At 36.7% G+C, this 21,863-nt stretch overlaps 1 long non-coding RNA gene across 1 annotated transcript in view; it reads right to left on the bottom strand.

Annotated features, from left to right (window-relative positions):
* Window positions 1-21,591, bottom strand: part of LOC105374430 (uncharacterized) — a 29,063-nt gene extending 7,472 nt beyond the window's left edge. Inside the window, exons 1-2 of the long non-coding RNA XR_925263.3 lie at window positions 21,354-21,591; window positions 7,418-7,533 (exon numbers count right to left, since the gene is read on the bottom strand). This is a non-coding gene — a long non-coding RNA (uncharacterized LOC105374430). The remainder of the gene's footprint in view (window positions 1-7,417; window positions 7,534-21,353) is intronic.
* Between the last annotated feature and the right edge of the window lie 272 nt (window positions 21,592-21,863).

Raw genomic sequence — 21,863 nt, 5'->3', positions numbered from 1 at the left:
ACCAAAGGATTATAAATCATGCTGCTATAAAGACACATACACACGTATGTTTATTGTGGCACTATTCACAATAGCAAAGACTTGGAACCAACCCAAATGTCCAACAATGATAGACTGGATTAAGAAAATGTGGCATATATACACCATAGAATACTATGCAGCCATAAAAAATGATGAGTTCATGTCCTTTGTAGGGACATGGATGAAGCTGGAAACTATCATTCTCTGCAAACTATCGCAAGGACAAAAAACCAAACACTGCATGTTCTCACTCATAGGTGGGAATTGAACAATGAGAACACGTGGACACAGGAAGGGGAACATCACACACTGGGGCCTGTTGTGGGGTTGGGGGAGGGGGGAGGGATACCATTAGGAGATATACCTAATGCTAAATGACGAGTTAATGGGTGCAGCACACCAACATGGCACATGCATACATATGTAACAAACCCACACTTTGTGCACACGTACCCTGAAACTTAGAGTATAAGAATAATAAAAAAAATTAAAAAGTTGATATAGAAAAAGTTTACAGTAAGCCAAGGCTAATTTATTATTGAAGAAAGAAAAATATTTTTAATAAATTAAGTCTAAGCATACAGTGTTTATAAAGTCTACAGCAGTGTACAGTGTTGTCATAGGCCTTCACATTTACTCACCACTCACTCTCTGACTTACCCAAAGCAGCTTCCAGTCTTGCAAGCTCCATTCATGGTGAGTGCCCTATACAGGTATACAGTTTTTTATTTTTATACTGTATTTTTTACTGTATCTTTTCTATGTTAGATGTGTTTAGATACACAAATACTTACAATTGTGTGACAATTGTCCACAATATTCAGTACAGTAACATGCTGTGCAGGTTTGTAGCCTAGGAGCAATAGGCTATGCTATCAATATAACCTACCTGCAGAATACAAGATACCATCTAGGTTTGTGGAAGTATATTCTCTGATGTTGGCACAATAATGAAATGGCCTACTGATGCATTTCTCAGGATGTACCCCCATCGTTAAGTGACACATGACTGTATAAAGATTTTTTTCTCATAAAAGTTAAATGTATGAGTATATATATAAAGCATATTGATATATGCCATACTCACGTGTATATATATAATACTTCTGAAAGATGACTAAACTTACAGAGATGTAGAAATCCACCAGACATCAAGTCTGTGACCCAAATTCTAAGCAGATCTTTTAAAAGCAGGCTACTGTTACAAGAATTTGAAAAAATTCAAACGTAAAAGATTTTCTCCGGCCGTTGTTTCCTATATGCCGCCCAAAAATACCTCAAAGAAGCTGGGCACGATTGCTCACACATGTAATCCCAGCACGTTGAGAGGCCAAGGAAAGTGGATCACCTGAGGTGAGGAGTTCGAGACCAGCCTGGCCAACATGTTGAAAGCCCGTCTACTAAAAATACAAAAATTAGCTGGGCATGGTGGTGGGTGCCTGTAATCCCAGCTACTTGGGAGGCTGAGGCAGGGGAATCACTTGAACCTGGGAAGCAGAGGTTGTAGTGAGCTGAGGTCACGTCACTGCACTCCAGCCTGGGAGACAGAGCAAGAAAAAAAACCTCAAAGAAGTTGTAAGAAAGGATAGAGACTGGAACAATGAAGGGCTGAACCATCCATTGGACATACAAATTATCTAATCTTCTCTATTTTTTCTATCTAGGTATTAACTCCAGTGGCCATAGAGTGAACATTGCTCATCAAAATGTGTGATGTATCTCTGCTTCCAAAAACAGTAATAGATTTCTTAAACTGATACATTAAATAAAAAGATAATATTAAGAATAATCAAAGTAAATGGTGATAACACATATGTACATACATGCATACAAAAAATGAGGGAGGGGGAAAAGGAAAAAACAATGAGGGGTCTTCTTTACAGAAAAATGCCAGATAATAAATGTAGAAGTAATAGATTTAGAAAAATCACCATTGAGTGAAGTTTTTGAAGAACAATATAGTCCTATGATCTCAAGGCATCATCTCACAGACTACTTTTTATTTACAAGGGCAACGGGTACTTTTATTGCAAAGGTCTATTGTACATCACGTAACTAAATGACCAACTGTTTATCATCAGTAATGGTCCAGATATCATGTGCCTCCTAATGAGATGCAACAGGAGTGCACAAATGGGAAGTGGGACATTCTATGAGACGACAAATCCACACTCCAAAAAATGTCAATGGCATGAAAGTGAACAAACAAACAGAGGTGATTAAAATTCCTCAACAGGAAAACACGTTGCATGACTTTCATTAGATCTTGAATTTAAAATATATATATATATATATATTTGGGACTTTCTCTTTAATAATTGGGGAAACTTGGCTGGGTTCAGTGGCTCACACCTGTAATCCCAGCACTTTGGGAGGCTGAGGCGAGCGGATCTTTTGAGGTCAGGGGTTCTAAACCAGCCTGGCCAACATGGTGAAATGCTGCCTCTACTAAAAATACAAAAATGAGCCGAGTGTGGTGGTGGCCACCTATAATCCCAGCTACTCAGGAGACTGAAGCAGGAGAATTGCTTGAGCCTGGGAGACAGAGGTTGCAGGGAGCAGAGATCGCACCATTGCAGTCCAGCCTAGGTGACAGAGCAAGATTCTGTCTCAATAATAATAGGGGAAACTTGAATATGCACTGTATATTTGATTATATTGTTGAATCAATGTTAAACTTGTTGGGCATACTAATATCGTGATTATGTAAGTGAAAACTCTTGTTCTTAGAGACACATGCTGAGTTATTTAGAAATGAACTGTTATAATATCTGCAGCTTATTTTCAAATAGTTCAGGAAAGTGTGTGTGGGGAATACACAAACATACACCTATATATACACATAGAGAGAAATAAAGCAAAAGTGACAAAATGATATCTGGAAACTGGGTAAAAAATTTAATGGTGTTTATTAGACTATTCTTTCAAGCTTTGTAGCTTTGAAATTTTTTCACAATAAATTATGGAAGAAAAAGAACTGAAGGGAAATAGAAGGGAAGTGGTTGATCTGAAAGATTTTCCAGATCATTCCATGCAGAAGATGGCTCCTGAAGGAGTTATGAACAAGCCACCCCAAGATATGCTGCTCCAGCATATTGACTATTTTCAACTAAAGGTACTTAAGGAAAAAAAAAAAAAACACCAGATGCAGGAAGATCACTCTGACCTTCATTCTACTTTTTAAAAGCAGGAAATAAATTTCCCATGTGAAAAAATGTTCTCCCTATACCAGAAGGAAAGCATCATTCTTATCAAGGATGGGAAGTTGAGGCCAAGGGAAATCTTTACAGATAAATTTGGTTAAATTAACCCTTACCTTCCTAGTCAGTTCTCTACCCAGTTAACTACCCTAGCCCAAGCCCCTCTGTCATACCACATCTCACAATTTGCTATTCTTTGTCCAATTCAGTATGTAAGTGATAGACTCTAACTGCTTCTCTGAGTCTTCACTTCTTTATGAGAGCTCCTGTACCACCTAAAACTGTAATTAAATAAATTTTTGTGCTTTTTTCCTGTTAATCTGTCTTGTGTCAACTTAATCTTCCAGCCCAACTGGGACCCTAAGAGGATGGAAGTGGAGTTATTGCCTCCCCCATGTGCGTATTATATCATTTCAGTGCTACATGAAAAGCAAAATAAACATATATTATCAAATATATATGATATAATTATCTCTAGAGAAAATGTTCAAATGGATTAAATAATTAAATGCAGTTGATAGTTAAAATCATCTGGAAGTAGCATGGTATATAGATTCTGGAGCCTTATAACGATGAATTTTAATCTCAATTTTGCCAGTTACTAGCTGTGTGATCTTGGACATGACACTTTTCATTAATTTGACATTTCTTGGATTTCTCTTCTGTAAAACAAAGATGATCATACTTAACTCATATAGCTGCTCTGACAGTTAAATGGTATAATGCTGCAGATCAGTGCTTCTCAAACTTGTTGCATCACAGTCTCCTGGAAGACTCGTCCCCACCTCCAGAGTTTCTAACTCAGTAGGTTTGGTGTGGGGCCTGAGAATGCATTTTCAAGTTACCAGTTGACTCTCATGCTATTGGTCTAGGGATCACACTTTTTAAATTATTGCTATAAATATTCAGATCAAAAATGTGCACACTCTGACAGTGGCAACACAGAGATAAAGCTGGCTCACTACTTTTCCGAGTGACATTTATTAGCTTGAGTATACTCTTTCACCATTATATTGTCACTTGAACATGTTTTCTTTAGCTGAAAGATCCTCATCATTCTCATCTCTGCCCTGAGACCGAACACACATAAATCTCTCATTAGCCAGGAACTGAATACAACATGGAAGCTTCGTTGACTTAGATCCACCACTGTCTGTTTTTTGGAGTAGTTGTCAAATATTTCTAAAATATATGTAAAATAAACTTAGACTGAGAAAGAGAAGCAATTCCACGGAACATAAAATCCCTGTTAATAGTGCATATAAATACTACTCCGGTCGGTAAGTGAAGTCTGTGTCTTACAACTCACTCAACAGCCCAGGCTGATGAATTTCCATCAGCAGTTTCAACCCTCTCTAGGTTCCAATCCCATGAGAGCACCTGGCAGTGTATTTGGAAGTGAATGAGCTCTGTGATCGGTCTGTTACATCAATGACTGTGTGTAGGAGGTTCAGAGTGAATTACGCTTTGTGGTACCTCCATGAGCATCTAGCATTAATCCTAGAGGTTTCTTCTCTGATTCCTAATTTTCATCTATGTTTGCGGCTGGACAAAAAGTACAGACCTGACCCTCAGCCTGGGGGACCCTTCTAACCCTACTCCCAGGGCATGGCCTCAGGGATGGTCAGAGAAATCAAATTCCTTAGTCCTGGACAATGTGAACCAGAAGAAAGCTCTTTACCTTAAATCCCATGTGCCCCAGCTTTTACCCCTCTTCTCATGCCACCATACAGAACACTTTCAATCTTGCTCTGTACTCTGACTTGGATTTTGGGACCTCAACCCTTCCTGGATGTTTATCAGAAGAATAGCGTACCAGATTGTAAACAGCATGGGCTCTGGACACCCAAAGACAAGTTAGAATCCTAGATTAATTATCAGCTAGGATTGGAGGTCCTTGACCAAATTACGTAAGGTTAGTATTAACATTACTGAGGTCAAGCCTCAGTTTGCTAATCTGTACAGTGTGAATAACATAATTTGATTCATAACATTAAATAACATAATGCATATGAAAGCACTGAGCTCAATGTCTATAATAGGCATGACATATGTTATATTTTGTAAAATTCTTAGTAATGGGCAAAGATAATAATGACAACTGACAGAGAGGGGATGAGGAAAAGAAACATGCCTATTGGTGAAGTTAAATCTTTAGCTATTTTCTGGCCAGCTTCTGGTCTGCTTTCATTCCTCTATCTCAAACTCTCACCATGCCTCATAGCCCAGTCAGACTTTACAAAGGAAATAAAAACCCCCTTCAATGGCTGTCCTAAATCCTAAGATCTACTAATGAGCATTCCGCTCTTCCCATGTTAGAAAAGACTTTTATTAAAGTGTAATGGAGACAATTACTATGCCTTATGGGGTTTTATAATTGTAGATATGTTCCCAATTTCTTCAGGGCCATGAGTCTGGAGGTTGGAAACATTGCCTCTAATAAGGCTAGATCACACAGTACTCTATCTTCCAATCTCATGAGATGGGATCCTTACTGGGAGATAGTATGCAGCACATGAAAGAGCAATGGGTTAGATGTTAGGCCAGGTGGATTTCACCATGCTCTCTCACCAATAACTAGTAATAGTTGTGTGGCCTTGGACATTATCTGGGGGGGGTCTTCACTTTCCTCATGTGTAAAATATATACCCTGTAGGCTCTCTTTTATCTTTCAGAAATTATGGTTGACTCTGTTTTAACTTGGGCCCTGGCTTAGCCTTCCAACCTGGAAGAAGAATCATGATTGATACTGATTTGTCACGTTTACTGTTCAATTCATGAAAGTCCTGACATGCACCAAGAAGCTGGCATCAAGTGTCAGGTCATCATTATGATGAACTATCTTAAATAGAGAACAGAAGAAAATAATGCTGTATTGAGGTGAGTGAGTTTTATGGAAATGTCAAAAATATCAAGGATATACATATATTGTATTGACATTTCTATAGCTCCATTGATGCCTTAAAGAATAAAAATATATGCTTTTAAACTTTAAAAAAGCTACAATCAAGTAGCTTTTGCATGGCATGATTTGATTCTTAAAGAATGTATGTAGAGTTGTGAACACCAAGGTAATGATGGTGTTTACCACTCAATGAGGGTTATAAATTTCTAAGTTTCTATTATTTTCTTTGATTATCAATATTTTCTAGCTTTCTAACATGTGCACATATTGCTTTTGTAATAATAAAACACTTTATTCTGAACCCAACTTCACTCACTCTCTGGCAGTCTTTTACAATTTCTCTGTCTGGAAAATAATTCGGAATACTACTCCTCAAATATTTTTATGGATAAAAAAGAAGAAAAACAAATTACAGATCCCTAGCATGTCTTCCAAGCCAAAGACATTTTTCCATTAAACTCTGTCTCCATCTTTCAAACTCCCTTATTGATTTGCTCTTAGGTTACTATTCCTATCTGTGTGACTGTTTCTCATCAAGAAGCAGCATGTGCTCAACCTGCCATAAAACAGGATGGCAGGTTTCAGAGCTCAGATTCGCCTGCTTTTCCTGAAATCAGTTATGAAGGTTTTACACAGAGTTCTTCTTAACAGCCTGAGGGAGATAGTACAGCACAGTTGAGAGCATGGATTCAAACCCTATTCTAGATTGAATCATGACTCTGCTATTTGCAAGCTGTACAACCTTGAACCCTTTATGTGACCTCTCATATCCTCAGTTTTCCCATCTGTAAAGTGAGTGTAAAAATACCCACCTTAAAATGTTGTCAGGACTACATGAGACCTTTTCTGTAAAGAGGCAGAGCTCAATGCCTGGAAATTAACCATTGCTTATTGGAACATTTGATGGCTTGATAAATTTAGCTACAATTAATTCTTTAAAAAAATTAAGCCTATTCTCAAATAACTTCAGAAAACTAGTCAACTTACCGCAAAATTTCATCTCATCCCCATTAGATTTTCTTATTTCCAAGAAAAATAAATACACTTGAAGAATATTTTAGGAAATCTTTCTGCTTTGACTTTATTATATCAAAACTCTACCTACACAGTTTCTCAATTTGAAAATCCTTTAAATGCTCAAATGAGCAAATTTCTATTTCTTTATAAAATGATTATTATTTTTCAAAGGTAGAATTAGTATCTAACCAATCTAACTATGTGAACACAGAAATTTTATGAGCTGGAAGGAAATTAAGAAGTAGCCATATTAACAAGACATGGTGGTGCACACCTGTAATCCCAGTTTCTCCGGAGGCTGAGGCATGAGAATTGCTTGAACCAAGAGGTGGAGATTCCAGTGAACTGAAATTACGCCACTGCACTCCAGCCGGATGACAGAAGAAGACTCTGTCTCAAAGAATAAAAAAAGAAGTAGCCATGACTTTTCTATTCAAATAGCTGATTATTAATAAAAATCCATGTTTTCATATTCTAGAAAACTATTTTTGAAGTTACTAACACTAAAACAAAAAGAAATATTATTCTATTTAATATTGAAAAGGAACAATACAGGGTCTGTTAGTGTATAAGCATAATCTTCCTTAATTTTGAAACTATACTGATGGCAACTGAATGCGGAGTTCACTATTAAATGAGAGTGAAGGAATGTTGACAGGATCATCCCCATTTTCCCTAATATTTTCTTTATTTACTTATTAATTTTTTGTTCTCAGAGTAAATGATTCTCGTGGTTACTCTTGTCAGTAATATACTAACTCTGCTATGTGAATGGGAAAAGCACTTTAGCCCATCTTTTAATGTGGTTTATAATAGCAACTACTTCATAGAGACATTGTGAGAATTAGATGAGAAAATATATAAATCATTGAGTAGAACCTGAATATAAAGTTCTTATATAATATTATCATTATTTTTATTACTGCAGATACAGGAGTGTTAAAGAAGTTAACTGCTCAAGTTTTTCTTTCTTAAAGAAGACTATATCAGAATAGATTAAGTTCACATGAGAATAGCCACTTTCAAAGTTCATTCACTGACAAATTAATTCCTTTAGCTACTCCATGCCTAGCTTAGGAGAAAGCCTCTTCAATTCCCCTACTTCAATTCTGCCCACTAAGGGAATTACATTCACTTGGTTGGATGCAGCCATTCACAGAGTGAACACTTAGGAATTTTTTTCTTTTTCATGATGAAACCATTTAAACATATAAAGGAGTACAGAAGATAATGTGAAAGACACCTGTAGGTATAACATTGTTAAAATGCTAAGATTAAACCCATGTTAATATTTGGCTTTCTTTGCTTTAATTTGCTCACTTTGTCTTCTTAAAAATGAAATGTCACAGGTACATCATATCTTCAACCTACCATCGTCCTTCCCAGAGGTAACCATTATTCTAAAGCTGGTGTGCATTATTTTCATGGACAGTTTTGTACATTTATTATGTATGTAGCATCCATAAATAAAACTATGTTTAACATTTAAATGAATGTATTATACTTTAAGATTCCTTTCAACTTTTTTAAAAACTCAGCATTGCATTTTTTAATCATGTTTATTCATGTAGATCTGGATCATTCATTATAAAACTTGCATTGTAATTGTCTGAATAAACCATGATTTATATATTTATTCATTGTTAAGTGGATTGTTTCCCTTGTTACGAACTTGCTCAAATAATTTCTCTCTGCAAAAGTACCTTGGTTTTTCTAGGGTAGAGAAATCCAAGAGTGAGATGGTAAGGTGTGTACATCTTTTAATTTGCAAGATACTCCCAAATTGCTCTCCAAAATGGTGAAACCAATTCACACTCCAATGAACATGTATATGGTTTCATCTTCTCCCACATCCTCACTAATGCTTGGTGTCATTATATACATTGAATTTTTCCAACTTGTTATTAATATATATTTTTCACATCTTCCTGAATTATCTGCCAATTCAATTATTTCTAGGAATCTCATAATATCATTTTCTGGAAAAAACCTCTTTGTAAATATCAGGAGAAAGAGCAAACGAACACATAATCTAAGAAATCAGTAATTCATGAAGGATGTCTTCTTTTCTCCTCTTTTTTTTTTTTTTAATTTGAGACAGAGTTTCACTCTGTCACCAGGCTGGAGTACAGTGGTGTGATCTCGGCTCACTGCAACCTTTGCTCCCGAGTTCAAGCGATTCTCCTGCCTCAGCCTCCCAAGTAGCTGGGACTACATACAGGTGCATGCCACCAGGCCCAGCTAATTTTTTTCCTTTTCTTTTTTTTTTTTCTTTTGTATTTTAGTACAGACGGGGTTTCACCATGTTGGCCAGGATGGTCTCGATCTCCTGACCTCGTGATCTGCCCGCCTTGCCTCCCAAAGTGCTGGGATTACAGGCGTGAGCCACTGCGCCCCACCAGGATGTTTTCTTAAATAAAAAGACAAAATCAAAGAACAAAGGGGATGAATCCACATATGAAAGCATATAAATGAATTAAAAATCATGTTCTTATGAGATAATCCAAGGCAAACCAAATTAAAGAAATCTTAAAATTCAACTCCTGCTCTAAAGTTTTTGGTTAACTGGATTGTACTCATTCCTTAATAAATCAGAAATGCTGGAATTCCCTCTGTATCTTTAAGAAGTAGAAGAGAAATATATAAAGACTTCATAGAAATTAATAAATATTGCCTGTTGAGATCTCATTTTCATATTCCACTTATCTAGCAAAACAAGACTGGTTCAATAATTTATACATGGTTTGAGGATAAATTAATGAGCTCTGCGTATGAAGTTGCTTTTATGTAAAGCGAAATGAACCCAACTCTTTCATATTACAAATGTGCTTGTTACTGAGTTTTAACAAAAATAAAAACTACAGTGCTCCTATGAATGTAAATGCCAATATTATTTCACACGAGGGAATACTAAACACAATAATAAGCTATCTCACATTCTTGCCTACCAATATTGTACTCATCTTCAGATATAATAATAAGGAATAGCATAACTCTGATAAACATAACTTTTAAGATTTAAAATTTATGTTTTTGTTTTGTCATTTTTGCTATTCTATTCTTGGTTATACTTTCTACCACTGAAAATTGACAATATTCAGTTGTGTAAACTGTGTCTTTGTTCGGTCTAATTATTGGTGTGTATTCTAGGTAGCCTTACAACAAAATACATGGAAACTTCTAGAATTTATGTCTATACAGACACAGAAAAATAAAACTGATGCTTGTTACTGACATATATCTCTTTTTTTCCACTTTAAAAAGGTTCATTTTAATGTATTTCATAATGGTCTTTCTATGCATAATTTTTACATATGTGGAAGCATTTTTAAAAACAAAACAAAATGGTGTTGCCTCTACATGCTGTTGTTATAACTCACTTTTTTCACTCAGCAGCAAAGTGTACTGATACATATTCTAAGGCAGCCATGAAGCTGCTTTGATCTTGATCTTAATAAGACTCTCTCTATAGACTATTAAAATAATTTTCCAGAGATCTATTACTTTCATATTGGATAGAAGTACATTGCATGTCCTTTAATTTTCGTAGCTTCTTTCAAAGGGAAGGTAGAGGAAAGGCTGCTTTGATTTAAGGGCCTTTTTAATTGACAACACTTGATCACTTGGTGTTTAATAGTCAATGATTCAACTAAAGCTATATTTGTAAGTGCAATAATATATGAAGAAATGATTTTTTAAAGCCAAAGTGTGCATAGCATTAATAAAGCAATGCAATGATATTAGTTATTCATTTTGAAAACAATATTGCAATTACATGTCTTCTAATGAAAAAATTCACAGACAAAATGGTTATAAGCTTGTCTAAAGTGAAATTGTATAACTAGTAAAAGAAAATAGAACCAACACCACAGATTATATTCCTAGGTGCATGCAGCTCACATAACAATTAAACAAGATATAGCGGAAGACAAGAAATAATCAAAATCAGAGATAAACTGAAGGATATCAGGACACACACACAAACAAAAAATTCAAAAGGTCAATGAATCCAGGAGTTGGTTTTTTAATAAGATAGGCTGCTAGCTAGATTAATAGGAGAAAGGAGAGAAGATCCAAATAAACACAATCAGAAACAACAAAGGGGATGTTACCACTGAGACCACAGAAATAAAAATAACTATCAGAGGCTACTACAAAAACCTCTATGAGCACAAACTAGAAAACCTAGAAGAGATGGATAAATTGCTGGACACAGACACCCTCCCAAGACTGAACCAGGAGGAAATTGATTCCCTGAACAGATCAATAACCATCTCTGGAAGTTGAATTAGTAATAGTCTACCAACCAAAAAATGTCCAGGACCAGATGAATTTACAGCTGAGTTATACCAGATGTACAAAGAAGAGTTGGTACCATTTCTACTGAAACTATTCCAAAAAATTGAGATGGAGGCATTCCTTCCTAACCCATTCTATGAGCTCAGCATCATCCTGATACTAAAACTTGGCGGAGACAAAAGAAAAAAAGAAGATTTCAGGCCAATATCCTTGATGAACATTGATGCAAAAATCCTCAACAGAATACTTGCAAACTGAATCCAGCAGCACATCAAAAGGCTAACCCACCGCAATTGAGTAGGCTTTATCCCTGGGGGACAAGGTTGTTTCAAAATATGCAAATCAATACATGTGATTCATCATATAAATAGAACTAAAGAAAAATGACATGGATCATCTCAATAGATGCAGAAAGGCTTTCAATAATATTCAACATCTCCTCATGTTCAACCCCCTCAATAAACTAGGTATTGAAGGAACATACCTCAAAATAATAAGAGCCATATATGACAAACCCACAGACAACAACATACTAAATGAGAAAAAGCTGGAAGCATTGCCCTTGAAAACTGACACAAGACAAGGATGCCCTCTCTCACCACTCCTATTCAACAGAGTAATTGGAAGTCCTGGCCAGAGCAATAAGCCAAAAGAAAGAAATAAATGGTATCCAAATAGGAAGAACAGAAGTCAAACTATCCCTGTTTGCAGAGGACATGATTCTATATCTAAGGGATAAGAACTGAAGGATAAGAAAATGATTTTTGAAATGGATAAAACATCCCTAAATCCCATAGGTACATTCTAGTGGGAAAGGGCATCTCCTATAATAAATATGCCGATGCAGATCTTTAAGGAATTTATATAAACTGCTACCAGGAACCACTAAGAATCGGACAACTTAATATCTTTATAAAGCAAAAAGTGACTATTGTTAATTCTACCTTGAGTGATAGCTAGACTCAACATGCCCACCTTTTCAAGTTGATCTTTCCGAAATAAACACACATTGTTTATTACAGTCTGTCTCATAATTTTGCTCAGCTAGGCCTACCTTATTTATTCATGTTATAGTTATCTAGTTCTATTCATTTGTAAATATTTAAAAAATACTCTTCTAATCATAAATCACTGGGGTCCTTCTTTGTGTTCTTCTGAGCCCAGCCCTCACAGCTCTGAGGTGACCAGGCTCTTCAGTCATCCTTACAAACCACTGAAGCTGGGAATAAATCTGAGGGCAGAGATAAAATTTCTCAGCAAAACTCTGCAAAATTTAATTAAGAGCCACTTCACATCTTCACCTTAAAAACAAACAATGGCTAGGATGTCATATCATTCAACTTTCTTCTCATTTCTAGGTGGCCTCTCATTTTTCAGATATTTATATTAAGGCATCTGCCCTAGAATGCAATTATTCTCCAAAAAGATAAGGTTATTCAAAAGGTAAAGTGAAAGTAAGTCTTCTGCAAGGACTGTTTCGTGACAAATCCTTAATGATTATTTTTTAAAATAAAATAACTTTTCTAACTCTAGCTTTATTTGTGTTAGGCTGGGGTTCATCATCCTGCACCATTCTATAAAGTTACATAACATTCATTTACCAATTTAATTAACTTTCCCAAATAAAAATTAGTTTAAGTTTCCACATGTCAAATTACCAGAATATCCAATATATCACTGAGGAACTTTCTCTCCTAAGTGGTGTAAGAACCCATGAAAGTGACTCAGGTCAAAGAAGCCAGCAGTATTTCACCACTAGACACTGTCAGTTGCTATGCCAACAGCCTTTATCCATTTCCCCACCTCTTCCTTCTAACAGAAACTTGATTTTGTTAATTGGCCTCCAAGTAGCTATTACATTGGTGCAAAAGTAATTGAGGTCTTTGCAATTAAAAAAAGGCAAAAACAAACCACTTTTGAAAAAAATCATAACTGAGGAAATTATGTCAGGGAGAGAGATCAGACCTAACCGACCCCATCTTCCTTCGAACCTCTAAACCGTCCTTGTTCATTCGTGGGTGTAGGCTGAACTGGCCATGGGAAGGAATTTAGCTTATAGTTTAAACTCTGAAACAAAATGGATAATAGCCATTTCCTGAAAAACCCCTTCTTCCCTGGGGACCAGTCTGCCTTTGTAGGACTAACAAATCAGCTACAAGATTAGGTATCATGGTTTAGGGGCTATGCAGCCTCTGACTGAAAGAGTCTGAACCTCCCCAAGTTGCTCCTGGGACTAAAATCACTGTTGTAAAACCTAAGATCAGTGCTTGAAATATTTTGCAGACCCTGCAGCAGATGACACCACTCAGACTGTGAATCTGGCTCAACCAGTTCTGTGATCCCACCCCAAAGTCAGCAAGAGGAACTTACTTCGATCCCCTATGATTTTATCTTCAACCTGACCAATCAGCACTTCCCACTTTTGGAGCCCATACCCACCAAATTATCCCTAAAGACTCTAATGTCCGAATGCTCGTATAGACTGATTTGAGTAATAATAAAACTCCAGTCTCCCGCACAGCTGGCTTTGCGTGAATTATTCTTTCACCATTGCAATTCCCTTGTCTTGACAAATCGGCTCTGCCTAGGCCGTGGTCAAGGTGATCTCACTGGGCAGTTACAAAACCACAATTACTTTTGCACCAACCTAATATTTCCTTCTGGGAAGACAGGACCCATCTCCATCCCCAGCAGTGACTCCTGATTGGCCAGAGCCAGCCATGGTTATTTATCCCCCTTGGCAAACATTTAGTTTGGTGTGGACACTGACCAAATTCTGTCTGATGAGACATAAGAAGTAGGCTGAGGAACTTCAAAACATTTTTCTTCTCTCAAAAAAGACCAGGACGGAAACATTTCTTTATTTTCCCTCTCTCTTCACATTAGTATGAAAGGATATGATGTCTGAAGCTGCCACAAGCATCAAGCAACTATGAAGTAGAAAAATGGCAAGACCCTCAATTTCTGATGACTTTGTTGAACCTCAATTTCTGATGACTTTGTTGAATTCAACTTTGTTGAATTTCTGTTGACTTTGTTGAACTGAATTAGCCACTTCTGGAATAGTCCTATCTTCCAGGATTCTGATTGTATGAGTGAATCAACTAAGGAATGTATTCTGTTAGAAGTAATAGAAAATCCAACTTGCAGAGGTTTAAAGAAAGATTTTTTATATTTCTCTTGCAACACAAAGCCCAAAGACAGGTACAGAGTAGGCTTGGAAGATGACTGCCATTGGATAAGGTAGAAGGTGCCTATGTAAAACTATGTAGCAATATTGAAAAAAAATGTAAGTTTAGAATAGGAAACTAAATGTGAGGGCATGAGAATTGACCTAAAGTTTTGTCTACAGTGATGACTTGGGCTATGTTTAAGGTTTTGTTTATTTCCATTTACTACTGAACAGCCAAGAAAGCAATGCAACAGATCAACCTGAGATCAAAGAAACAAGTGAGTCAATATAGCTCTCCATGACAGTCCAGTTTCTCACAGAAGTGTACTCAAAGTTATCTGTAATTTAATAGAGTGGGGAATTGATCACATCAGAAAAGGCCAGAATCATGAGCTTCCTGACTCATATACTGTTAATCTAAGAAGCAGCAGTTCAGGAATCAAGGATCTACCCTGTTACCAGAAGAGAAAAAAAGTTCTACCTCTCCTCAAAATCTTTCTAGACCTAATTCTGTGACCACCTCATGGCTTATACAGGATTTTAGAACTATGTTGACAAAAGACAAGACTAGATTTGAATAAATAGATAGAAAATAAGAAAGCGGATACACAACACCAGGTCCTTGGAACTATATTCCTGAGTTGAGGAGACTAAACAGCCAAGTCAGAGTGGTCTGCTAGATTTTCCTATGATCTATTGTAGAATAATCTTTGATGGTGATAAAAGAAAAACTTCAGCTGAATTAAATTTATAAGAGTTTAATTGAGCAATGAATGATTTGTGAATCGGGCAGCCCCCAGAACCACAGCAGATTCCCAGAGACTCCAGGGGTATCTCGTGGTCAGAATAAACTCATAGACAAAAAAGGTAAAGTGACATACAGGAATCAGAAGTGAGGTACAGAAACAGTGAGATTGGTTACAGCTCGACTTTTGCCTTTTTTGAACGTAGTTTGAACATTCAGCCTCTATGAGTAGTTGAAGTATGGCCGCTGGGATTGGCCAACACTCAGCCACTGTTATAGGTGCATACTATTACGTTAGATTTTCAATTTTGTCTCACTATTAAGCTAGGTTACAGTTCATCCACAAGGATTCAAATATAGAAGTATGGAGTCCTTCTCAGGCCATATTTAGTTGGCTTTAACAATTCCCCCTTTTAGACATTTTCTCAATTTTGAGAGATTGGCCAAAATCTTAGTCACTGATGTTACTATCTCTTTTGTAAATGTACTTATTTGATTTTGAAACCCACTGAAAAACAATAGAACAGTGGGTTTTGCAAGGAGGCACCAAGGACTGAATAGAGGGTACTTCCTTATGCTGGAACATCCTGTTTACAGGAGAAAAACAAAACCTGATCTGTTCTAGGATCTGTGTTTTCTTAAAGCCTTAGTTTGATTGTGTCACATTTAGCATGAGTGACTCCATTTTAGTTTGGTTCAGTTTGTTGGGGCCTAGTGCATGAGCTCAGTCCAAAATAATGGCCTCCCATAATTTTGTTTAAAAAAAATTCCACTTTTTGGCCAGGTTTCACTTTAGTGAGAGTGTAACCAATACTTAGGGCCTTAGCACCACTCTCAGTTATCATCATTTTGGGTTTTTGATCTCAGCATGTCATTCATAGGTTACGGTGTCCTCATGGTTGCACATTTCTTTCAGCTTTTGTCATTCCAGTTGAAGAGAGATCACTTGATGTTCTAGAGATGGCTGCATGCAAACATTTAAAACCTTTGAGAGAATACAGTGTACCAGGGAGAATATTATTATGACTATTGGGAGGATAATACCAAGAGTTTGGAGTATGGTCCTTACCCAAGGTCCCCATAAACCAAACCGTGTAAAATTAAATACATTTAATAATGAGCTGGATGAAGAGTCTACTCACTTGACTAAGTGGTCTTTTCATTAATACCCTACAACTGAATTTTAATAATCTACATTTGATGTATTTCTCCATAGGCCACAAGTGTCAGCAGCTGCACAGGTACTTTTCTGTTTAGCCACATCTATTAACTTAGTATAACTTCCACAAGAGAATTTAAAGTCTGTGTGTAACGATAGCTTTTAAAGCAGAATTTGCTGTAGAGCCTATTATGAGGGTGACAATTCTAATTATTGCCTTTTATTCTAAACCATGGAAAAAGGACCCAAAAAATGATGTCCTGCTAGAAGAGTGAAGGCCTCCTGGCAATGGTCTCTTTAATCCCCAAAGAGGAGTTTTGAGTGATTATGAGGCAACATATTTACCACCAAAGTTTCTCACCTACACTTCACCTTCATCTTTTATCTATTAAAGTATAAGTTTATTCATGTATAAGGCTGACTGCAAAATCCTTCACAAATAAAACTATACCCTATAAGTGCACACAATAGACCCCTTTTCATTCCTATTGTTCATAGAAGCATAAATAAGGAAAAAATATTTAAAGATAAGAGTCTTGTGATAGTAGAAGTCATGATCTGTAAACTTGGGAAAAGCTGTTTGAATCAAGGATGTCATCTTCTTCTGGGGAGAAACTTTCCTGGTTAGTTTTACCTTAAAAGTTCCAATGGGTGTACAGTTCCAGGAGGGTGGAGGGACCCTTCTCAGTTGTGAGATTATGAACCCAAAGCTCAAGTCTCCAAAGTTTTGCTGAAGTGTGGTTGGGAAGGACAGTCTTTCTCTAATGTTCTCAGAAGATCCAATCTTAGGGCTCTAGCTTGTGAAGGGATTGCCCTCAGTGAAACATAAAAAGCTCTCTTTACCTGGTAAAAATACACTGTAGTATAATAATCTACTGTTATAACAACAGCCCTCTTGCATGGGAAAGCTGTTATGCTACCAGAAAACATGCATTGAAAATGATAATTGAATGAAATCCCTTTATAAATGTTTAAATGGCCCATCAGGTAGACAAACGTACCTGAAGCTTTGATTGTCTTCCCAGGAAAATGGAACCAAATATTGGTTTTAAACTAGCTCCAAATTTATGAGTCACCACATCAATATATTCTATTTGGATTATTTTATATTTTCCATGCTGAGTCATGGAATGCAGAGCCTTTAATAACAAAAGCTTTAAGGACTCAGGAAGGACAAGATGGCTGTCCTGGTTCTTCATGAGTCCATGCTTAACATTGGACTTATGTCCTCTTGAATACTAGTTGTTCCTCCAATTTAGGTGCATAGCACTGATAACTTACATGTTATCAGAGGTAATTTGACTTAGACCATGGAGTTTATTCAAATTGTATATTTAAACAATTTTAGTATTGGCTGATTTAGCATGATAATCTAGAGCTTGATTTTGAATCGTTTATTAAATACTAAAGATTTAAAACATTGGATATTACAAAATAGAATCTTAGGTTACCATAAGTCATCCATTTAGCCAAAATGATAACTCAAAAATTTTTTAAAGGAAAAAACATTATTCTGATAGAGAGTAGACTCAGCTTTCTAAATAAGACCCAGTGGAGATAGCAGGAAGCCAACTGACTCTGTCTCCTTTCTTTCACTTCCTCTCTTTTTCTTTTGTAGTTTACTTAAAAGGTAAACCAAAACCTTTCATAATCTTTTAATATCACATAAAAATCCTTTTTAAAAGAGAAAACCAAATTTTATGTTTCCATTAGTATATTTTTAATGTTAAAGCTAGTTTTAAGTAATATTTTACAAATCTATTCAGTTTTAATTAGTTTGACCATAAGGTAAGATTTTTATAAACCTTTTATAACCCTTTACAATTTTTTTTCTCAGAGCAGAACAATAGTCTAAGAAAACTCTGTTGTGCTTTGATTCCAATGTCCAATTCATAGAAAAAACTGAATAATGCCATTTTGACTTTAGCCAATATGTTCACGCATAGAACCTTTTACAATTTTTTTAATAAACCTTCCACAACTTTTTCAAACATTTAGCTTTATTTAATTTAAAACAATCCTTTAACCCGCTAATGTAGGCAAAAATTTACATTCCTATACCTTCTTATAATCTCTTACAAAAACACATTTTATTCTCTTTACACACCGTGTATGTAAACTTATTTTTCAGCAGTGTCAATTACATATTACAGTGTTAACTCTTAGAGACTTTAACTTTTGATGAAAACCTTGTTAAGTAAGGGATTTTAATTATGTACTAGGTGTGGAGCCCAGAACCCAGACAGAAATGCAGATAAGGTCTGATTCTTTCCAGCATCTAACTCCACGTGTTCCAGGGCCTACCTAGCTGTAAAGCAGACAAGCTGTACATTTAACAGTCATAGTGGCATTCTATGAAGAATTTAGGCCTAATCACCTTTAAATTGCACATTTCTGGAATAAATCTCTTTTTATAAATTCTTTCACGACTTATGCAGACCATATATGACATGTTTAGACTTCCTGACTTGCCCTAAACATTCCTCTTTCTAAAGACCAATCATTTTACTTTAGGACAAGAATTTACCATACAACATCCTTTCTTATATAAAATCTCTTTTCTTTATAACTTTCTTTGCATAGCTAGGGGGCATGGCTAATTCCATATATCCCCAGGCTTTATTTAGAATTTAATATCTCCAAAATAAATTGAACAATTTTCAAAAGTCAAAGCAGTTTATGATCTTAAAGCATTTAGCAAACCTAATATCTGACCTGCATAATTTAGACAAAATATCTTTATTTTATTAATAATCTTAAAAGCTTTTTTTATTTCCCAAAGATTACTAAAGTTACATGAACTAAAAGGCATTATAGTTTTTATTTTGCTTTCAAAATATTAGATTTTGTGCACTTTTGTTTAAGCCAGTTAATTAGAGCTCTTTTACATAAACATTACACACAACACATATACAATTAGACAGAAGGAGATTACTACAGTAGTTGTAAGATTTTTCATTTGCCAGTTTTTCTGTTTCTTAATCGGTTATTGGCTTTAGAGTGGAGCCCTTGGAAGAACAGGGCCAGGAAAGGGGTTTCTGTTGCCTCCCATTTTTCCCAAGGAGTCCAGGCTGTTAAAGCTTGAATATCTTTTAATTAAGCTGACTTTTAACCATAGCACTCTTTAATAAAGTCCCTTAAAATTTTTTTATTACTTGATTTTAGCCAGGCCAAACGGCCATTTCCAGCTTTTGAACTTTACCAAAGGTAAATTCCCAGATGCTCAGAGAAAGGAAAATTTAAGATAATACATAAAGGAGAAGAGACTAGACAAGGTCATGCAGATATTAAACAAAAAAGAACTTGCTTTGTAAGCATGGAATACGAACCTGGACCACTGCTATGAAAGGGCAAAACCTCAGCTACTGAGCTACAGCACAGAGCAGTCTCCACTCCCTTCCCCAGAAGGAATCCAGAGTAGCTAATTTTGAGCTTGCAAAGGCTTTTAACTACTCAAGATAATTTTTAGAGATAACTATGCCATAAACCCTAAAATTCCTGTTCCCTGGAAGACGGAGACCAAGAGAAAGTGTGGTTACAAGGTTAAGCTCTCAAGGACATAAAGCAAGATGGAGATAAACAGTGATTTTTACCATTCATTCAACCATTTGCACAGAGAGAGAGAAGCCCAAAATCTGACTGGTAAGAAATTCTTATCTTTTTGCTGGGATGCCAGGCTTCTGGGTTCCCTTTCCCTGAGTGGCTCTAGTGACTCAGCTTCCTGCAACATCGCGTTGGGGGCCAAGACACATCATAAAGGAAAATTATTTTTTTTCGTTCTGGCCAGAGTAAAATACGTGTGACAAAACACAGACATTAGCCACTCTGCTTAGCACTCAATATCAAATTGGCAAGACTCCAATTTGTCTCTGTTTGGGTCCCATCATCATTAATCCAACCTCCGGCCAGGAGTTTCAACATGTGGTCTCTGGGCAAGATGGTCGCCTTGAGTAATAGAAAAGATAAGGGAAAGGAGAGAGAGAAAAGCATTGCCTGTGGCAGGGTGGGGAAGGCGAAATGATCAGGGAGGCCAGAGAAAGACCCACCCATTGCAGCCACATGGAAAAGTTCAGGCAGCTGCTTCTCAGTAGAAAGGGAATCTTTTCCAGCAGTCTCATCAGCTCTCAAGTTTCCCCTTTTAGGAGGGAAAAAGCTCCCCATGTCCCACAATCCTGTACATGCCTAATCCTGTCACCCACAGCCATCAGCAAAGAGTGCAAGGCAGATTATTCCAAAGACAATAGCAGTTGACCTCCTGTAGTGCCAAATTCATTCTTAGCCAAAAGGGACTTCACCAAGAGCCTTCATTTTTAAATGTACTTCAATGCATTGTTGTTCATTCAGAACATTCCACTGTAAGTTATCTTTAGTAAGATTCTGCCATTTCTGTAAGACTTCGCTGCCTCCCAGGCCTAAAGCATAAACCAGGAGAAACTCAGTTTTCCAGAAATTAAGGATCCCATTTTTACCTACAATATTGGCTTTACTCTCAGATTCTCTTGATTAACTTAGCCAGTGATTTTTTTTCCTACCTAAGTGCACAAGAAAAATTAAATAAAGGGGTGGAACACAAAAATCCCTGTGAATTTTCAAAAGCCAAAGTTTATAACCCCTGCAATATTACAGCTTACTACCAGTTCCTTTCTGACCCAGTCAGATGTAAGAGGCCTCTAACTGGATCCAAGCCAGTTAATTCCTGGATCAAATCTGTTCCCAGACCCAGTCCAGTTTCTGTCACAACTCCAAACCCAGTTTGGATCAGAAATTTGCTCAAAGAAACTCAGAGAGCTCAAAACACAAATCCGTGGAGCCCTGAAATCGGAGAGCGAGCTTACCCATGATCCCCAGTGGCTCTGAGAGATCAATGGACACAAGTGGGTCCTGCAGGTACCTTGAGTGTTCATTCAGCACTGCTGGGGGATGCTAGAAGCTGCACTTCAGATCCCGCTTCTGACACCATCTGATAAAAGAAAAACTTCAGCTGAATTAAATTTAAAGGAGTTGAATTGAGCAGTAAACGATTCACAAATTGGGCAGCCCCCAGAATCACAGCAGATTCACAGAGACTCCAGGGGTGCCTCATAGTTGGAACAAATTTATGAACAAAAAAAGGTACAGTGACTTACAGGAATAGGAAGTGAGGTACAGAAACAGTGAGATTGCTTATGGCTTGACATTTGCCTTATTTGGACGCAGTTTGAACATTCAACCTCTGTGAGTGGTTGAAGTATGGCCGCTGGGATTGGCCAACACTCAGCCATTGTTACAGGTGCATACTATTAAGTTAGAGTTTCAATTTTGTCTGACTATTAAGCTAGGTTACAGTCCATTCACAAGAATTCAAA

The sequence above is a fragment of the Homo sapiens genome, chromosome 4 (genome assembly GCF_000001405.40).
Source record: "Homo sapiens chromosome 4, GRCh38.p14 Primary Assembly".
Classification (NCBI taxonomy): Eukaryota; Metazoa; Chordata; class Mammalia; order Primates; family Hominidae; genus Homo; species Homo sapiens.
Note: the sequence above shows the minus strand (reverse complement) of the source record. Positions and strands in the feature narration are given on the sequence as shown.